This window comes from Homo sapiens, chromosome 11, assembly GCF_000001405.40.
Source record: "Homo sapiens chromosome 11, GRCh38.p14 Primary Assembly".
NCBI lineage: Eukaryota > Metazoa > Chordata > Mammalia > Primates > Hominidae > Homo > Homo sapiens.
Genome location: NC_000011.10, coordinates 132939561 through 132959610, shown reverse-complemented (window position 1 = coordinate 132959610; position 20050 = coordinate 132939561). Strand labels below are relative to the sequence as shown.

At 44.9% G+C, this 20050-nt stretch overlaps 1 protein-coding gene across 8 annotated transcripts in view; it reads left to right on the top strand.

Annotated features, from left to right (window-relative positions):
* OPCML (opioid binding protein/cell adhesion molecule like) overlaps positions 1 to 20050 on the top strand; it is a 1117521-nt gene that overhangs the window by 572891 nt on the left and 524580 nt on the right. For 3 of the 8 annotated variants that reach the window (XM_006718846.4, NM_001012393.5, XM_047427032.1), the window contains exon 2: positions 16601 to 16685. The exons of 1 other annotated variant lie outside the window; for it this stretch is intronic. In XM_006718846.4, the coding sequence (XP_006718909.1) occupies positions 16601 to 16685 (85 nt within the window). Of the gene's footprint in view, positions 1 to 15774; positions 16686 to 20050 lie in introns of those variants that run through there. 4 more of the 8 variants (NM_001319106.2, NM_002545.5, NM_001319103.2 and 1 more) reach the window with 2 other exon arrangements.

Genomic DNA, 20050 nt, shown 5'->3' with positions numbered 1-20050 from the left:
TCTCTGCATTCCACTTTCTTTTCCACTCTCTGTGCCATCTAATCCCTTGCACTGTGCCCCACTCTTCCCTTCCCGAAAGATTGCTCTGTAGCAAGCGATGCTGTTTGATAGCATTTTACCCACAGTAGAACTTCTTTCATAATTGGAGACAGTCCTCTCAAATCCCGCCGCTGCTTTATCAGCTAAGTTCATGGGATATTCTGACTCCCTTGTTGTCATTTCAACAATGTTCACAGCATCTTCACCGAGGGTAGTTTCCATCTCAAGAAACCACTTCCTTTGCTCATCCAAGAGAAGCAGCTCCTCATCCATTCAAGTTTATTGTGAGACTGTCACATCTTTAGTCTCCACTTGTAGTTCTAGTTCTCTTGCTATTTCCACCACATCTGCAGTTACTTCCTCCACTGAAATCTTGAACCCCTCAAAGTCATCCATGAGGCTTGGAATCAACGTCTTCTAAGCTCCTGTTAATGTGGATACTTTGACCTCCTTCCATGAATCACAAGTGTTCTTAATGGCATTTAGCATGGTGAATCTTTTCCAGAAGGTTTTTGGTTTACTTTGGCCAGATCCATCAGAAGAATCACTATTTATGGCAGCCATAGCCTTACAAATGTATCTCTTGAATAATAAAATTTGAAAGTTGAAATTTGTTTTTGATTCATGGGCTACGGAACGGAGGTTGTGTTAGCAGGCATGAAAACAACATTCATCTCTCTGTATATCTTCATTGGAGCTTTTGGGTAACTAGGTGAATTGTCAATGGGCAGTGATATTTGGAAAGGTATCTTTTTTTCCTGAGAAGTAGGTCTTAATAGTGAGCTTAAAATATTCAGTAAACCCTGCTGTAAACAGTTATGCTGTCATCCAGGCTCTGTTGTTCCATTTATGGAGCACAGGAAGAGTAGATTTGGCATGATTCTTAAGGGCCCTAGGATTTTCAGAATGATAAATGAGTATTGGTTTTCACTTAAAGTCAACAGCTGTATTAGCTCCTAACCGGAGAGTCAGCCTGTCCTTAAGCTTTGAAGCCAGACATTGACTTCCCCTCTGTAGCTATGAAAGTCCCAGATGGCACCTTCTTCCAACACAGGGTTGCTTCAGCTACACTGAAGATCTGCTGTTGAGTGTAGCCACCTTCATCAATGATCTTAGCTAAATCTTCTGGATTACTTGCTGCAGCTTCTACATAAGCACCTGCTGCTTCATCTTGTACTTCTATGTTATAAAAATGGTTTCTTTCCTTAAACCTCATCAACTAACCTCTGCTAGCTTCAAACATTTCTTCTGCAGCTTCCTTACCTGTCTCAGCCTTCATAGAATTGAAGAGAGTTACAACCTCGCTCTGGATTAGGCTTTGGCTTAATAGAATGTTGTGGCTGGTTTGACTTTCTATCAAGACCACCAAAACCTTCTCTGTGTCAGCAACAAGACTGTTTTGCTTTCTTATCATTTGTGTGTTCACTGGAGTGGCACTTTTAATTTCCTTCAGGAATTTTCCTTTGCATTCCTAACTTGACTAACTCTTTGGTGCAAGAGATTTAGTTTTCAGCCTATCTTGGCTTTCAACCTGTCTTCTTCATTAAGCTTAATCATTTCCAGAGTTTTATTTGAAGCGAGGAATGTGCAACTCTTCCTTTCATTTGAACACTTAGAGGCCTTTGTAGGGTTATTAATTGGCCTAATTTAAATATTTTTGTGTCTCAGGGAACAGGGAGGCCTGAGGAGAAGGAGAGAGACTGGAGAATGGTTGGTTGGTAGAGCAGTCAGAACACACACATTTATCGATTAAGTTTCCTGTCTTACATGAGCATAGCTCGTGCTGCCCCAAAACAATTAAAATAGTAACATCAAAGATTACTGATCACTACTAGATATAATGAGAAAGTTTGAAATATTGCAATAGTTACCAAAATGTGGCACAGAGACAGAGTGAGTACATGTTGCTGGAAAAAATGGTGCCGATAGACTTGCTTGATGCAGGGTTGCCACAAACCTTCAATTTGTAAAATACCCAGTATCTGCAAAACACAATGAAGCAAAGCACAATAAAACAAGGTGTGCCTGTACACACAATATATATGTATGTGTGTTTGTTTATTTATAAATAAATATATATTTAAGTATATACATTTATTTATCTCTACCTCTGTCTTGGGATCCATCTCTGTAAAATCTCCCCTTGGTTGTGTTTCCCTGGAGAACTCTGATTATGTGAGACAGTCAGACCCCATCCTGCTTCTCTCCCGTGTTATGCCCCTGCCCCTTTCTTTCCTTTTCTTTTGCTTCCTCTTTGCCATTTTCTTCACACCCATTTTCTGGAGACTTTCTAATGCCTGGAGGTGGAAGGAAGGAGGATGAGCAATGGATTCTCCGTCTCCTTCCTTCCCAGTCTTCTGAACTGCATTTCCTGCCATCATGGGAAATTTTGAGCCTCATGACCCAGAGGGACTGTTTTGTTTTGGTTTTGGTTTTGGTTTGAGACAAGGTCTTGCTTTGTTGCCCAGACTGGAATACAGTGGCATGATCATAGCTCACTGCAGCCTCAAACTCCTGGACTCAAGTGATCCTCCCACCTCAGCCTGTTAAGTATCTTGGACTAGAGGCATGAGGCAGCACATCTGCCTGTTTTTTAAAATTTTCGTAGAGATAGGATCTTGCTATGTTGCCCAGGCTGGCCTTGAACTCTTGGCTTCAAGCAACCCTCCCACCTTGGCCTCCCAAAGTGCTGGGATTATAGCTGTGAGCCACCATGCCTGGCCTTGTTTTATTTTTCCCTGACTCTATCTTTGTAAAACTGATTCCATCCAGCCAAGACAGGAAACTAGAGTTGCTGGGAGGAGAAGAAAGCTTTTAGGGTCGAATACAGAATACAATGTCAGTGCTGGGTTAAGGAGTGGGTATGGGGCATTAGTGGACGAAAAGAGGCTAGTCAGAGACAGATCCAAGATACTGTTGTCTAACATAAGTGTGGTGGTGGTGAGGATGCATACAGCCCAGCAGAATTTTAGAAACTGTCCAATCCAATTTGGTCAAAACCCAATTTATTGTGGGTTTCTACCAAAATGTTTGAGGTTTTGGTCAAAACCTACAATAAAAATGCTGTGTCAAGCATGCCCAGAACACAAGAGCATATGAGAGACCCTGAGAGTGTGTCTGTGAATAAAGGCGGGGCACTATCATGTAAACATACGTTATGAGAAGCTTGCTCTCTAAGCTGAGTTACAATATATCACAATAATTATGTAAATCACAAGCAATGTTTCTGATGAATCTGGCTCTGTTTTATTGATTAGAATCCTAATACCTGAAGCTGATCTTCATTGCTTGTTAGCCACGTGGTACGGCTACCTGCTTTTCCACCGTGATTAACTTCTTGCCATGTAAATAGTGTGTTCCAACATCAGTAGTGTATGGGCACAAAACAAACTGAATCACTCTAATTCTTGTTCTCCACCTTTAGCTAATTTGCCACTGATAAAATCCAGTGTCCAAATGTGGACAAATATCTTTGATTATTTAATATTTGGCACATGAATCTTGAATAGCTATGATATCTGTGAGACTGGAGGGTATGGGTTAGAGATACATAATTATTTTTATTATTAATTGAATAAATATTGATTGGAAACCTACTATATGCCAGGAATTATTCTGGGTGCTGGTAATACAGCAATGAATGTTGAGGGAAATAGGAAAAGGTTCAGCATTTTCTTTGTTTTGTTTTTGAGATGGTGTCTTGCTCTGTCATCCAGGCTGGAGTGCAATGGTGCGATCTCGGCTCACTGCAACCTCTGCCTCCCCGGGTTCAAGCGATTCTCCTGCCTTGGCCTCCTGAGCAGCTGGGATTACAGGCACACACCACCATTCCCTGCTAATTTTTGTATTTTTAGTTGAGGTGGGGTTTCACCATGTTGGTCAGGATGGTCTCGAACTCCTGACCTCATGATCCGCCTGCCTCAACCTCCCAAAGTGCTGGGATTACAGGCATGAGCCACCGCGCCCAGCCAGATTCAGCATTTTCTACCTTGCACTTCTAGAAATGACTAGGAGTAATCTTTCTTCTCTATATATTGCTTTATCAAATAATACCTTCCTTATAGAGGTGTTAACAGGATTACATTAGATAGCATCTGTCAGGTGTATGTTCTAGTGTCTGGGCTGCTGGTAGGATGATGATGATGATGACAATGACAACTGTCACTATTTTTTAAATATTGGTTGGTTGGTCTGCATCTGAATGGGTCCAGAGAGGGAAGTGTTTTGACCTGAAACAATTCATCCTGTATATGTTTATTAATCATCAACAGTGTACGAAATGCTGTGATGAACACAGGCAGCTGTACAACACCTTGAAGGAGCTCTTCACCTTCAGACACATTAAAAAAATATTCAGGACTCTCATGCTGAAGATGAAATAAGACAAAACCGTGCCAACCTCCCCCAGATCCCCATCTCCGTCCAGCATGTTTTCACAGCTAAGCTCGACACCCTGGACCGCATTTGTTTTCTCCACACCTGGGGTTCCACTCATTCCTCAGCTCACCACTGCCTCACTTCTGCTGCCTCAGCAGCAAAACACCTTCTGCAAAATTCATCAGTGCCCTCCACTGTGGCAGATCAAAAGCATGGTTGTCCATCCTCTGCTAGCCTGAAGTCTCTCGTAGTGGATGCCGCTAGCCACTCTTTTCTTCTTAAAGGTCTCCTCCCTGATTTCTGTGTGGGCACCGATCCTGAGTTTCCTTCTATTTTTTTGGCCATTCCTCAGGCTTCCTCATGAGCCCTTTTTCATCTTACCCCATGTGTTTGCGTTGCTCAGAATTCACACTTAATGCCACATTTCTTCTCACTCCTGCTCTTGCTCAGTGACTTCATTAGTACCCAGGGCTTCAGCTCCCATGTATGCAAAGATGATTCCAAAATCTATGACTGTAAACATTGTCTCTTGCTCAGGCTCAACACCGAAATATCCAAATGCCAACAGCGTAGTTTTACTTGGATGTTTCACCAGCCCCTCAAGTTCAATGTTTAACGCCCTGCCCTCTACTCAGTATCAACTATTCTTACTATGTCTCTGGGACTGGCAACGCTGTTCACTCATCTGCCAAAATCAGAAGCCACATGGCAGTCAGTCATACCCAGTCCTTAAAAGTGAACTTTTCCTTTGAGTCTTTAAAAAAGTTCACTTAAAAGTGAACTTTTCCTTTGAGGGGTCTTTTCCTTTGAGCAGCTTTCCAAGAACCCGATCTAATTTTAATGGCCTCATTTTGAGATCCTGTAGCATGCTGTACATATTTTTAATCTTCTCATACCATACTATGACACCTGATTTATTTCTTCTACTAGACTATAAACTCCTTGAGGGCAGGTAACACACCATGTTCTTTGGATTTCCAGGCCAAGCAAAATGCCTAGATGGTCAATGAACATTGGTCCTCCCACCAAAACAAACAAAAAACAAAACAAACAAAAAAACAAACAAAAAACCCAAGAAAGAATGTTTGAATGAAGTAGTGAATTAGTTAACAAAATAAATGAACAATATAAAAAAAGTTTGGCAAGAGAGATATGATTTCAAGTAACTGACATGTTATACAAAACACAAGTTCTAGCTCCTCTCTAAGACCCAGAAAATCAGATTCATTTTAGCAGGAAGTGGGTACAGCCCCGTAAGGAGCAGCCAGTCATGGAGTACCACCTATATGCCAAGCTCTCTGCAAGCCACCTTACATACATTTTGCTCGTTCTTTAAATAAAAAAATGTTGTTTTTCCCATGCAACCAAGGAGGAATCCTGGGCTCAGAGAAGCTTGGTCCATTGCTGGGGACCCCCAGCTCTCAGGGGGCAGGTCCAGATTTAGAGCCTGGCAAACCTACCTCCAGCGGCATTCTCTCCTCCACACTCTGGGTTCTCTGGGGAGGAAGGATCCATTTTCCACCTGTCATGGTCATTCTGTTAGATACTATAGTGAGACCAGGGAGGGGTAAGACTGTAATAATGGTACTGAACATTTAAAAAACACATTTTATGGCTTGTAGGTCTCAATATAATGGTTTTTGTTATTGGATTTATAGAACTATATGAGGTGTGACTATAAAGCAATGAGGCTGATTTTATCGTATGGCTTGCGGAAATCGGTCCCTTTATAGGGGTCTCCAGCCTTTCTAGAATGAAATGCTTTAATGTAGTTGATGCCCATGCTTCCCCACAGTTGAGGCTTTGGGGTCCAGGGAGGGAAGGAGAAGGATACTAAGAGAGTTCCTTAGTGGGAATGGCATTGGATCTTTGGCTGACAGCTTCACGGAGTTTCTGCAGACTGTGGAGAGTGGACATCAGTTCTCTCGTGCAGCAAATATTTGGTGAGTACTTACTCTGTACTGGGCCCTGGTCTGTAGCAGAGGAATCAGGGATGAGCAAAATAAAAACTCTGTTCTCGGGGACCTTGCAATTCTAATGAGAGACAGAGAAGTTACATGCATGCAATACACACAGAAACTTGGAAGGAAAAAGAGTAGGCTAGGGGCTGATGTTATACTCCTTAGATTCTAAAGTTCTCAATAGATCACTCTCTAAGCCTTGGGGAACCTCATAGATAACTTTTTACAGTGTAAATCTTACATGCCTTAGGTTGGCTTGTTTATTTTAAAGTTTTTTTGTTGTCATGTTACTTTTGTTTGTCTTCTTGGTTATTTTTGTTGTTTTGTTTGCTTTGGTTTTGCCTACTTCATCATTCTGGCATTAAGGATGGAAAAAAGGAATTGACTATCCCCCATCATGGAGAGCTGCCATCGTGCCAGGCTCTGGGAAGGGCACTTTCCCATGCATCACCGCGCTCACAGCCATCCTGTGAGGAAGCTCTCATGCACGCCGCTCACAGAGGAGGGTACACAAACTCAGAGGATCGCCCTGCTTGGAAGTAGCAGAGCTGGGATTGGAAGCCAGGCATTTTAATTCACGCACAATGTTGGTTCCTTCCATCAGTCCAGGCAGATGCATTCTAGGTTGAAAAGGATGTGATGTGGTCTGTGATAGAAAAGAGAAGCAGGTTGGGATTTAAGGGTCCTGAATTCTGCCCTTAGGTTAGCAGCTGACTAGGAAAACCAATGAATGTGTATTTGCATAAGTTTTGGAAGTGTGCAAACAAGAATGAGAAGCGAGGTTCCACATGGATTTCCTGCATTAATTGTGCAAGCAGCTATCATATAGGGATTGGTTTGGGTTTTTTAGAGGACAGTACTTGTGTCTCATCCAAAGTGTTGTGTTCTGTGGTATGTAATTCCCTTTCTGGTGACTTTCTTAGCCTAAAAACGGAAGCCCCAGTCAATTCTTACCACTCTGTTCACCACAACACATTTTGAGTTCACTAAAGCTCCATGACCAGAGGGCCCCAGAGAGCCACCTTCTTCAAGCTAAGCCACCATGTCTTCTCGGCCACTCCACTCCACTGGGTCCACACTGACTTAGGTTGGTTTCTGTCATACAAATACGCATCAAACCCAGGCTTCTCACTTTATATTTCTCCCTAATATACACATGGAACAGCTGGGTACAATCTTCTCTCAGATAAACACAAGCTGTAAGTCTTCCTTATTTATGAATAACAGTTTGAAATTGCTTTTATAACTGAATACAAATTTTATTAGATAAATGCAGATATTTCTGTGTGATCCCAGATTCCCCAGTAGCCATCCTCATCTGGACAGCCCCTCCAGGGCAAAATAAAAGCTTATTAATAACCACAGAAGCCTTTTCATTTTTAGGCAACTTCTAATTCTAAAGTGGCCTCTTCTTCAAACTCAGAGAAAAACCTGTCCTGTTTCTTTTATTATATACACACACAGAAAAAAAGCCTTTGGACGCCTTGGGAATTTTTGTGTCTTGCTCTGTACAGCTTATCTGCCCACAGAGATACTTCAGAGAAGAAACTTGTGACAATGGGGAATTAGGCCTCTTTCTGTAGGCAGTAATAACTAGCATTTATTATGGACTTAGGGAGTGCCAGGCATGATGCCAATTATTTTACATGCAGTATTTCACTTAACACTGATGTCGGCTGAATCATGGCCCCCAAAATTCGTATGTTGAAATTCTGAGCACCAATGTGACTCTACTTAGAGATAGGGCTTTTAGGAGGTGATTAAAGTTAAAGGGGTCAGAAGGATGGGGCCCTAATCCCTTAGAATTGGTGGCCTTCTAAGAACAGAGAGAGTTTTCTTCCCCACGTGAGCACAGAGCGAGAAGGTAGCTGTCTCAAGCCAGAAAGAGAGCCCTCGTCGGAGCATGTTCACGCTGGCACCCTGATCTCAGACTTGCAGGCTGTGCCACTGTGAGAAAACCGATTCCTGTGAGGCCACCTAGTCTGCAGTATTTTGTTATGGCAGCCTGAGCTGACTGAGACATACACTCACAAGTACTCTACAGATTCATTGCTACGGTGGTCTCCATTTACAGAGGTGGCAGCTGTAAGATGAGTGAATGTAAGGAGCTTGTGTAAAGTCCCACAGAGTGAGCTGCAGAGGTGGGGCTTGGACTGACGCCCGACTGCCCTGTGTTTGCTCCAGTCTTCCCTGCTGCACTCTAGAGCGCAGGCACACAGTCCACCTAGATCACAGCAGGTGATCACAGCAGGGAAGTCAAAACAGGCCGAGGTCTTAAACCCAGGTCCTTCGACTCACATTGAGGGTCAGTGAGCAGCGTTTTCCTGTTTTCTTAAAAACAGTGATAACTTCATGGCCTCATCTCCAAACAATGTTAGAGACTACTCTCAAAAGATGAGTTGTGACCAAGTAGAGGAGATATATTAAGAGACAACTAAATGGAGTGAAATAGGTTACATCTCACGGGGTTGGCTGAAGGCACCTATTTCCAAATTATGAACAAAGGCAGAGGAGCCTCTAGATCCAGATTGAGGGTTCCATGGATAATATGCCCCCTTCCAAAAATGCACACAGCAGAGCTTTACCACTATTTTTTATGATAATTAGGAAAGCAAGCTTTCAATGAGACAGTAGCATCACCCTCAGTCCTCCATGCTAAGCTTCAAATCTTTCTCCCACTGTCGTCCTGATGTCTCCATTTGACTGTCTCATAGAGGTGATAGCTTCACAACTTAATCAGAACTCTTTATTCATTCTTCAATTCCTGCCTCCTTAAACCCATTCCTTCTGGCATCATCCTCATTACAGGTAGTTGTAAAATGCAGCTAGTTACCCAAATCTTCCTCAATCGCTCTCTTTTTCTCAATCCCCAATCTCAGGAAGTCCTAACTACTATTCTTCAGGAATGCACCCCTCACCTCTCCATCATTCTCTGTCTTCATTGCCATCGTTTCTGGCCTCTGCTGCTCCTGTCTTGCCCTCTGCTTCTACTCTGTACCCCTGCAATCTAGTCCTCTACACAGCGGTCAAAGTGATGTGCAAAACTTTTCAATCACAACCCGTCTCTTTTCCACTGCAATGTCTCCAACGTTATCGCACTGCCCTTAGAGCCAATTCCAAAACAGTTACTGTGACCTTCAAGGCCCAGCGCGGCTGCACCTTCATCTGCTGCTGGGGCTAGCGGGCTACCTCTGCCATATGCCTCTATGGTGTTTGTTTGCTCAGCTCCAACCTTCACTCAGCCGATCAGTCAGGACTCAGGTCAAATGCTCCCTCTTCAGAGAGGCTTCCCCTGGCTATTTGATTTTTCGCTCTTCCAACATCATCACACCTTTTCTTAATGTATAGCTTGTAGCACAATCTAAATATTTGCATCTGTTTACTTTTTATGGTCTTTTTCCCCCTCCTTCAACACTGCTTACACACCCGTGCAGAAAAGCATGTAATAAAGCTGATCTCATTAATGACTGCATCTTCAGTCCCTAGAACAGTGTCCAACATAAAATAGGTGTGTCATACATATTTACAGAATTAGTAAATAAATTCATAAATGAATAAGTAAAAATCGTGTTACATTTTTTGTCATTTTTAAATTGGTTTCTTTCTTTGACTGTTAGTCTTGGTTATCACCCTCTGTGTGAGACTGATCCGTCAAAGACTATAAGGCAGATAATGTCCTGCCACAAGCAAGAGAGTTTTCACAGCCCAGGATACTGGTTGGAAGTATCCATCCATACCCAAAGCAGCAGCAGTACTCAGCAGGCAGCTCAGTTTAGGTTCTGAACAGAAGTTGCTGCCCAACAAGGCCCACCTCCCCTTTGTCTTTCTCCGTAATTGTGGGTTCCTGAGTTGTGTGCACCATTGTTCAGCTGCTTCTTACAGGATGCATCTCTTCAGTGTCACGAGCTACGTTCCATCACCAGACACAGTCCACATATACATAGGAATATTATAGGCCTACAGTCTTACTTAAGCCAGTTTGAAATGCAATAATGTGATTAGACTTTTTACAGGTGTTTTTCCCAGGTGGGTCGCCTTACGTTTCATGTAGCTTCTCTGGGGCATTCTATCTTCTCCAGGTTGCAGATACTACCTGTCAGTTTCAAGTTGCTAGAGTCACCTGAATACTGACCTGGAAATCCCTAGGGTTCTTTACAACTCTTTGCCTTCTTTGCAGCTCTTTCTCCTACCTGAGAAAGTTCCCTCTGGCAAGGATTCCTATTCTCAAGCTTGTTCATAATTACTTTTCTCTGGCTAGCCAGTGGTCTCTCTTGTGATCATTACAGCCCTGTAATCGGGATACAACTTTGCATTTTCTGTTACAAATTGTCATAAACGAGACTTCTGTAGGTCTGAGTAGAATCTCTAGTTTGTACATAGGGCATTTATAACCTTTCACTCCCATCTTTTTTTATGTCACAAATCGTTATCATGTGAAAATGGGAGTTTGGCTACATAACGATAATTCATGATTATTAAATTTTCCAGTGTGCCAAGTAATTTGGTGAAATGTTGCATGCATTATGTCATTAATTGTCCCTTATATTAATTATGGTTTTTATGTTCTGTATTTTATGATGCTTTGATATCCTAGGTCTTGCTAATTCTGGAAAGACTGTCCCTCCTAGGGCTAGCTAATTCCTAGAGATGATAAAAAACTTGCCTGTGAGCCTGCCCTTTATGAGAAAACCAATCCATCCAAAACCCATACCCCACACATTTCTTTTATCTAATGCTCACACACCAAATCAATATTGCCCTTGCCCTAGATCACCCCAGGGCCAGGTACAGAACCACTAGAACCACCCCCACTGCCGTAACACAGAGCCTGCCAGAAATATTCAAACTTTACAATCCTAAGCTTGCTGAAGTTTGCCTACCTTGCCTCCCCTATTTATTCCCATGGAAATCACAATAAAGACCATGTGCTAGGCCTTCCTCTCACTCCTTCTGCCTCCTGACCAACCCTGGTGCCTCCCCATGTGGTCCAGCATGGCACGGTGTGCCCCTCCTCTTGGGAACTGTAAGGAATAAACTCATCTTTCAAGGCAGTCGTCTCTGTGTCTGTCTTCTTACCAGCCTTGATTTTAAAACATGCCCGGTACATTTCAAGAAACCTCAAACCCTATAACATAGGTGGGATAGGTATTCCTGGGTACCAGCCAGGCAGCTAGAGAGATGACAAGTCAGCATCTGAACAGACAATATAACTTCAAAAGTAGTATAGGTTGAGCATCCCAAATCCAAAAGCTGAAACTTTTTGAGGACAGACATGGTGCTCAAAGGAAATGCTCACTGGAGCATATTGAATTTGAGATGTCCAGATTTGGGATACTCAACAGTAGGTATAATGCAAAGACTCCAAAATTTAAAATAATTCAAAATCTGAAACACTTCTGGTCTCAAGCATTTCTGATAAGGGATACTCTTAGTCATGATGTTAATTTGTCTTTATATATGTTTCCACATATCTAAGAGGGTTTCACTAGGGGCCACCGTGTCATGATACTCAGCCAAGCATTTCCTAGAAAAGTTCTGACATAAACTACTTAGTCCTTGTTCATTGTGAACCTCAGCTCATTTTCTGTTTCTAATTTCAATTTGGTCTCAGCCTTATATTCTATAAATGCACAGACTAGTCCACAGCAGTGTCCTACAGAGGAATGAAGTCTCTCCCACACAACTGTAGGCTCACAGAGATTAACATTAAATGAGACCTTTGCAGTCATTTCTCTGATCTGCTAGCCCATGAGTTGAGCCCGTTTATTCACTCAGAAATATTGAGCTAGGAAATGCTGTTACAGAAGGAAATAGACACAGGCCCTCTTCCTTAGGACTCCAGATACCTTATTTCAGGGGAGCCAGCTGTGCAACAAAATGGGATACTTGGTTTATTTCTTTGCAAGAGCAAGACTTATTATATATTGTTAAGAAAATTTACACCTCGCTTCTGCCCATCTCTGCTGCTCTTCTTTACTTGCCTCAGCCATTCTTTTCCTATCGGGAACCTCATGCTGTCCTAGCCTTTCTCTTTTTCCTTAATAACTCTTCCTGTCTCAAGCAATCTTTTATGAGTTGATTTAGCAACTGCTCCATTTTTGTCTCTTGAGAAGCAATAGAACCAGCAGGTCCAGGAGAGAGGAAGGGATCTGAATGCCCTACAACCAAGTGGCAGAGCTGCGAGCCTTGAGGGGCAGCCTGACCCAACTCCACGGCTGCCACCCACCTGTGTTCAAGCTCCAAACTCTGCAACTGAAGAAAATCATAAGCCCGGCCTCAGGTTCTCAGCTTTACACAAATTAAAGTATGAAAAAGAGCCTTTCCCGTCTGGTGATACTAGACTAGAACTCAGAGTTGAGAGGTTGAAGTACAATGTCAATCAGGAAACCCGGGTTCACTCAAGTCTTGAGAAAAGACATGTGTCATGAAAGCTAGTAGGAAATCCCAAAATAGGTTGTGGGGCTGCTCCCTGAGCCCCCAGCCTCTCCTCTCTGCATCACAACTCCCCAAAGCCTTGTACCTCGGGAGCTTATGGATGAGACCTGGACCCCACTGCTGCCTTTGTCATACCTGCTTTCTGGAAAGGACCTAACCCAGTGGATCACTGTGTAACAATGCTCTGTCAATGACAGGCCGCATATATGACAGTGGTATAGAAAAGATTACAGTGGAACTAAAAACTTCTCATCCTCCAGTGACACTGTAGCCATCTTAATGTCTTAGCTCAAAGTGTTACTCAGGTGTTGGTGGTGATGCTGGTGTAAACAAACCCTACTATGCTGCCGGTCCCATGAAAGTCTAGCACATGTAAATATGTACAGTACATAATACTTGATAACAATATAAACGACTATGTTACTAGTTTTTATGTTTACTATACTATACTTTTTATCTTTACAGTATGCTCCTGCTACTTATTTTAAAAAGGTGATTGTAAAACAGCCACAGGCAGGTCCTTCAGGAGGGATTTAGAAGAAGGCATTGCCATCATAGGAGATGACAGCTCCGTGCATGTTATTGCTCCTGAAGCTCTTCCAGTGTGAGGAAATGTGGAGGCAGAAGACACTGATACTGATCATCCTGACTCCATGTAGGCCTAGGCTAATGTGTGTATTTGTGTCTTAGTTTTTAGCAAACAAAATTTAAAAAGTAGGCCGGGCGCAGTGGCTCACACCTGTAATCCCAGCACTTTGGGAGGCCGAGGCGGGTGGATCATGAGATCAGGAGATCGAAACCATCCTGACTAACACGGTGAAACCCCGTCTCTACTAAAAATACAAAAAGTTAGCTGGGCATGGTGGTGGGCGCCTGTAGTCCCAGCTACTTGGGAGGCTGAGGCAGGAGAATGGCGTGAACCCGGGAGGTGGAGCTTGCAGTGAGCCGAGATTGCGCCACTGCACTCCAGCCTGGGTGACAGAGCGAGACTCCGTCTCAAAAACAAACAAACAAAAAAGAGTGGAAAAAAGCTTAGAATAAGGATATAAGAATATATTTTTGTACAACTGTACAACGTGTTTGTGTTTTAAGCTAATGTTATCATGCAACAGTCAAAAAGTTAAAATAATTCAAAGTGTATAAAGTTAAAAAGTTACAGTAGGCTAAAGTTATTATTGAAGAAAGAAAAATATGTTTTGATAAATTTAGGGTAGCCTAATTATATAGTGTTTATGAAGACTACGGTGGTGTGCAGTAATGTCCTAGGCCTCCATTCCCCACCCGCTCACTGACTCACCCAGAGCAACTTCCAGTTCTGCAAGCTCCGTCTGCGGCAAATGTCCTGTACAGATGTACCATTTTTTAATCTTTTGTACCATATTTTTATTGCACATTTTCTGTGTTTAGATACACAAATCCTTACTATTGTGTTACAATTGCCTGTAGTATTCAGTACAGTAGCATGCTGTACAGGCTTGCAGCCAAGGAGCAATAGGCTCTACCATACAGCCTAGGTGTGTAGTAGGCTGTGTCATCTAGGTTTATGGAAGTACACACTAGGATAGTCACACAATGACAAAATCTCCTAAAGACAGTTCTCAGATTGTATCCCCCTCCATAAGCAGCATATGACTATATATGTTTCACTATAGCTGATATAATTAGTGATAAGTATTCTCCCTTCTAGGTAAGATGCTCTAATTAAAAATTTTAGACCTACACATATATGTGGGCTAACCCTTTTAGAATGGGGAATGGGGCAGTATTTATTTGTGCTCCTTCTCTCAGAACTGAAAGCAAGTAGTATGCCTTTGTATCCTTCAGCAACTAAAGTAATAAACGATAAGAGCTTAATGCTTATTTTTGAATTAAATTTCATTTTGCCAATTGTGCAGAGCCCAGTCTAATTTAACAAAAGGCTCTGAGAGAAAATACAGTAGAGCAGATGCACATAGCAACCATTAAATTAGAATACAACGGGGAGGCTTCTGCCAGGGGAGCGGAGAGGGCCTCCCGAGGGGCCCAAGGGAAGCGGAGCTCTGGGGTTTAGAGCAGAAAGAGACAAATCCGAGACCAAAGAAAGGGGGAGGCTGGCTTCCAAAAGCACCCCAGTCACCTCCCAGCACCACTGCGGCGCCGCTTCCTGTGAGGGGTTTTAGGAGGATCAGTCCTACTACTTTTTAGGATCTGGTGTGTTTTTCCCAGCCCTTGCTTTTTACCACGATAAGGTGTAGGACAGGGACAATGTTGCATGCTGTGTTTTAAGGAGAAATTGAGATTTGCCACTTTGGGGACAGGCGTCCAGTGGAGGGGCACGGGCGTTTCCGAGGTGGGTCCTCGGAGGTGGGTGCACTCCACCTCTGCGCGGGCCCAGGACAGCGCGCCGTCAGGGCTGGACTTGGCTGGGCGGGGAGCCGTTCGCAGCGCGATGGACACGCACACCGGTGCCCCATCTGGCGTGGGCAGGGTAGTTCAGCTCTCCAGGGCGGGGTTTGTCAACTTCTGCGCTGGCATCGGCGAGGGAAGGTGCCAGTGTCAGTTTTCAGTTTGCTGCTTTCCCCAGAACTCCCTCTCCCGCCCTCCCCTCTCCCTCCCCGCTCCCCCCACCCCGCCCCTCTGTAGGGGAAGCCGCTGCGAGGGGCGCCGCGTTCTCTCCGCTGGCGCGGGTGTCGGGACGGAGCGAAGTGGGCGCGGTGCGGGCTCATCCCCGCAGGCATCCCCAGCCCGGTGGGCGCGGCGGAGGTTAAGGTGGGCGCCCGCCCGTCGGGATGAGCGCGCAGTCCGCGCCGCCCGCCAGCCCGCTCGCTCCGAGGCGGCACCGGGAGAAAGTGGCGGTCAGGGATGGAGCTGCTGCCATGACAACCCCGGCGGTCCGGGCCCGCGCGCGTCGGGGCTGCTCCCGGGAGGAAGGCGGCGCGGAGGCCGGGGGCGGCCGCTGAGCGTGGCGTCCGCGCGTCCCCGCGTCTCGTGCCGCGTCCCCGGAGGAGGCGGGGGCCGCCGTCCGCCCAGCTCCCCGTGCGCCCGGAGCCTGCGCCGGGCGGCGCTCCCCCGGCTGGCCGCGAGTCGCCGACCGGGCTGCAGAGGACGGCCACCGACCGGACGACCCTGGCTGCGCCGGCTGCGCGTCCCCGCCTTGGAACTTTTTGCCGCCTTGGGGTTCCAGATGCGAGACCTGGGGCTGGGGGACACGTACATCTGTCCATGTGTGTGATCTAATAAACCATTTCCTCCTCTCCTTGAAGCCGCAGCTTTTTATGACAGCTCCTGTATGTCAGAGACACTTGCCTTCTTCTTTGGGTTATAAACTTTTGATGCCAGAGCTCTGCAGAACGTGCCCAACTGAATCTTAAAGTAGCGTCTCGAAGAGAGAGGCAGAGAAAGCGCAATCTGTGACCTTCATCCCCGCACCTTGCTTCTTCCTCTCCCCTCCTGGCCGCCTCCCTCCTCCCCAGGGGAGCGTCAAGAAAGCTCTTTTTGGATGCAGGAGGGGGCATCTGGTTCTGCTAGGCTGGAAAGCTGAGGCAGGATCTGAGGAAGAATTCTCAGACTCCGGAGAGCCCGGACTCCTCTCTTCTCCTTCCCCCTGCTCCTGGCGAACTCTGCCCCTTCCCTCCTCCCCGCACCGCTTCCCGAGCCCGCTGGTGCGCGGGGCGGGGGACCAGGACTGTGCGGCTGCCGGAGTCCTGGGAAGTTGTGGCTGTCGAGAATGGGGGTCTGTGGGTACCTGTTCCTGCCCTGGAAGTGCCTCGTGGTCGTGTCTCTCAGGCTGCTGTTCCTTGTACCCACAGGAGTGCCCGTGCGCAGCGGAGATGCCACCTTCCCCAAAGCTATGGACAACGTGACGGTCCGGCAGGGGGAGAGCGCCACCCTCAGGTAGGGAGCTGTCCTTCCGCGGGGGCCGAGCCCCTGGGCTGTGGTCGCTGGGGAGAGGAGGGAAGAGGGGGCAGAAGGCTCCATGGGGGACCGGAACGCGAGTGGGCCTTGTGCAGGCCCGAGGGGCGCCCGCTTGCGTGCTGCCGTGCCGACTGCCGTGCCCCTGGACAGGTTTGTCCTGTGCTCCGGCTATGCTGGTCCAGGATCTTATGCGTGAACCTTGAAGTCCACGTGTGGGACTCCATGGTTCTTTGAAGCCACGACAGGCTAGATTCTCTCCTGCTTGGGCACCGTGATGAGAACATGAGTGCATGGGTTTGAAACACTGGGGGGCTAGCCTGAGCCCCTTGGATGGCTGTCACAGGCCAGAAGGTACATGATGAGGCAGGATCGTCCTCAGGACCACCAGGCTAGCCCTTATCAGAGATGCACCTCAAATGTGAGGCTGTGGAATTACCAGTGTCAGCCCACGGCCTGTTATGAGTCTCCTCAAGACCCAGCACTCGTGCCAAACCTGGTGTAGTGCTCCTAGGGTCCCTATTGTAAATTATGACAGCAGTTTTATTTTTGCAGACTGGGTCCAAGGAAAGGAAACATGTAGCTTTTATGCAACAACATCACTTCTGTGTGAAAAGCACAATAGGAGAGCTTTTTGTTTTACCTTAATGAGTTACAGAGAATCACTTGCATGCTCCAGGCAGAGAGGTGGAGAATCTTGGAATATGAACCTTTGGGGACTGGACTTGCTGCAGCAGATACTTTAATAAAAATGCAGCCACCACTTTCCACCAGCTCAGCAGATATCATCTTTTATCCCTTTAATGAGGCAGTTCTGGTCCTAGGAGACAGATTCAGGGACGTCCCAGCTTAACTATGTCTCACAATGTACACAGGGCGAATGCATTTGCCCTGCCTATGACTTTGATGGTTATGGTGACAATAAAACATCCTGACCCAGATTCTGCAGCCAAAATGCCTGGCTTCCCCTAGGACAGTGTGACGGTGGGGGTTCTTCCTGTTCCTCCCTTGGCTTTTCTGGTGGAACCTTTCCTGCATCTAGACAAGCCTCTCCCTGGAGGAGGAAAGACCTGTCTCTGGGACACCAGAATTCTTTTTCTAAGCCCAAGGGTGAAGATTGGATTCTGCCACTTTGGGTGATACTTAGCTGGATCTTCTTTTTAGTTAGAGAACAGGTCCCAGAATCCTGTGTGCTGTTTCTCAGAAGCCCAAAGCAAATGGAGAAAAAAGGAGAATAGAGAGGCCCTTCCTGGAGATGTGAAGGAAAAGTCCTCCTGGCCATGTGGGTACCACTCAGCCTGCCCCAGACTAGAATGTAATATCCCTACTTCATTGCTTCAAAGAAGGTCCCATGAGGAATCAGGGAACATTTCCCAATACGCATTTGCAGTGAGCTAGTTGGCTTAAAGATATAAGCAGCACACGGGTTATAATACATGTTAACCAAGAAAATGTCAGTAAATATTACCAGTGTTCAGGGATGTTGATGCTGCCACACACCTCTTTACCATCTAATGTGCCACTGGGGGCAAAGAGGTCTAGCATTGAATAGGATCTCAGTCGTGAATTTTCCAGAATCCTCTGTCCTCTTCCTGTCCCTCAAAATTAAACCAGAAACTTCAAAACTTGAGCTTTCTGCTTTCTGAGATGCAGTAAGACTATTCCACCAGCAGAGGGCCAGCTTCCATCTACCAATTTTTTATTAGCTGTTGGCCTGTTTTCATGATCTTCAATTCTAATGTTGAGCAGCTGGGCTTGGGAATGGGAATGGGAATAAAAAAAGAAAAGCTGAATAGTTGCTTTTTGTTCTTTGCAGAAAAAAAGAACAACTTACATGTTCTAGCATAACTGTTATCTGTTATCTGATTGCATGGCGTAATTTTTTTTTTTTAAGTAAGCACATGTATCATGTTGATTTTGCGTCTCTTCTATACATTTACCCCAGAATAGGGAAATTCAGCACGTTATCTACATTTTAATCTCTTTAAATCCTCATTCTCTTAGCTCATGTCATCTTCTCTTTTATTATTTTCTTCCTTCATTTTTATCAGATGCTCCCATAATGTATACTTTCGTCTATTACTCATTATTTTCTTTCTTTTTTGTCTTTATCACTTAAGTCTTCTTATTCCTTGATTTTTTAAGGTTTTGATTTCACTGCTACCACAGTGTTTCCTAAAAGAAAATAAACATCTTCTGCAAATTTCTGTGTGTCCCCATCTCTCTCCTTTTGTTTTCACTCTTTTGCTGTATTGGTGAAGAGTTCTGTTCCCATCTTAACAAACAACTGATTTGTCAGTACTCTGAGGGAGAGTCCATGTTTTCAGTTTCTAGAAGCCCATGGCTTCAACCCCAGATAAATATACCATGTTTTATTTGGTGGTGTTTTTTGCTGTATAAGCTGTAATTCTTAAGTGTGGTTTCTTACTCTTTTGCCTCCTTAAAGACATTCATTAGGGATTCATTACCTGGGAACTGAGTGTTCCAAGCGCATCACATGTTTAGATTGCACCAAAAAACACTGAATGATACCCATGCCCATCACACGAAAGCTCTTTTAATGTGGTTGTCCTGGGTCAAACTATCTCGAATCTGTTTCTAAATCTTGAATGAAGTCCCATAAGGAGGCCAGAGACCTACTAGGAAAAGCAAAGGAGTCACGAAACCTGGGCCTGCCTTTCACTTTCCCAGTGAAAAACTGCACAGCTCAGAGAAGAGTGATTTTCCTCCTTTGGGATATCAGTTTTGTTGTGACAGGTCTTTGATTGCTCTGAGGGACATTAGGAAGTGCTGTGCCAAAGAAGACACTGAAGCTTTGAACGTGGATGAAACTCGTTTTCTGTAAGTGAGGCAATATTATCCTCCTCATAACTACTTCATAGGGTTACTTGAAAAGCAAAAATAATTATTTGAATATTGAGTTATTTTGCCCTCTTGGAAGAGAGATGATATGGAAAATGAAGGTGCTCTTCACTATGGTTGAATTATAGCTTCCATGAATCTGATTTGAATTCATTATTACAAATGGGCCCTCTTGGCCAGAATCACTTCATTACAATTATCTGCTGTTGGGTTGAAAATGTTCTGTGGCTCTGCATTAGATTAGATATGACAAGAATCCAGAAGTCATGTGTCTGAATCAATGCCCACATCAGGAAAGGAGCCCAGGATGTTCAGTGTGGTCAGCTGGTGTCTATTAAGCCATCTCAGCAGAATGGATGATGGCCAGTTGTGCTTTCTTCACAGGCCTCAATCTCCTCAAAGTTTGCTTGAGTTCTTCTGTGGGTCCACATCATCTGTGTACATGAACATTTTGAGGGGCTGCGGTGAGATGGAGGCAAGGTGGT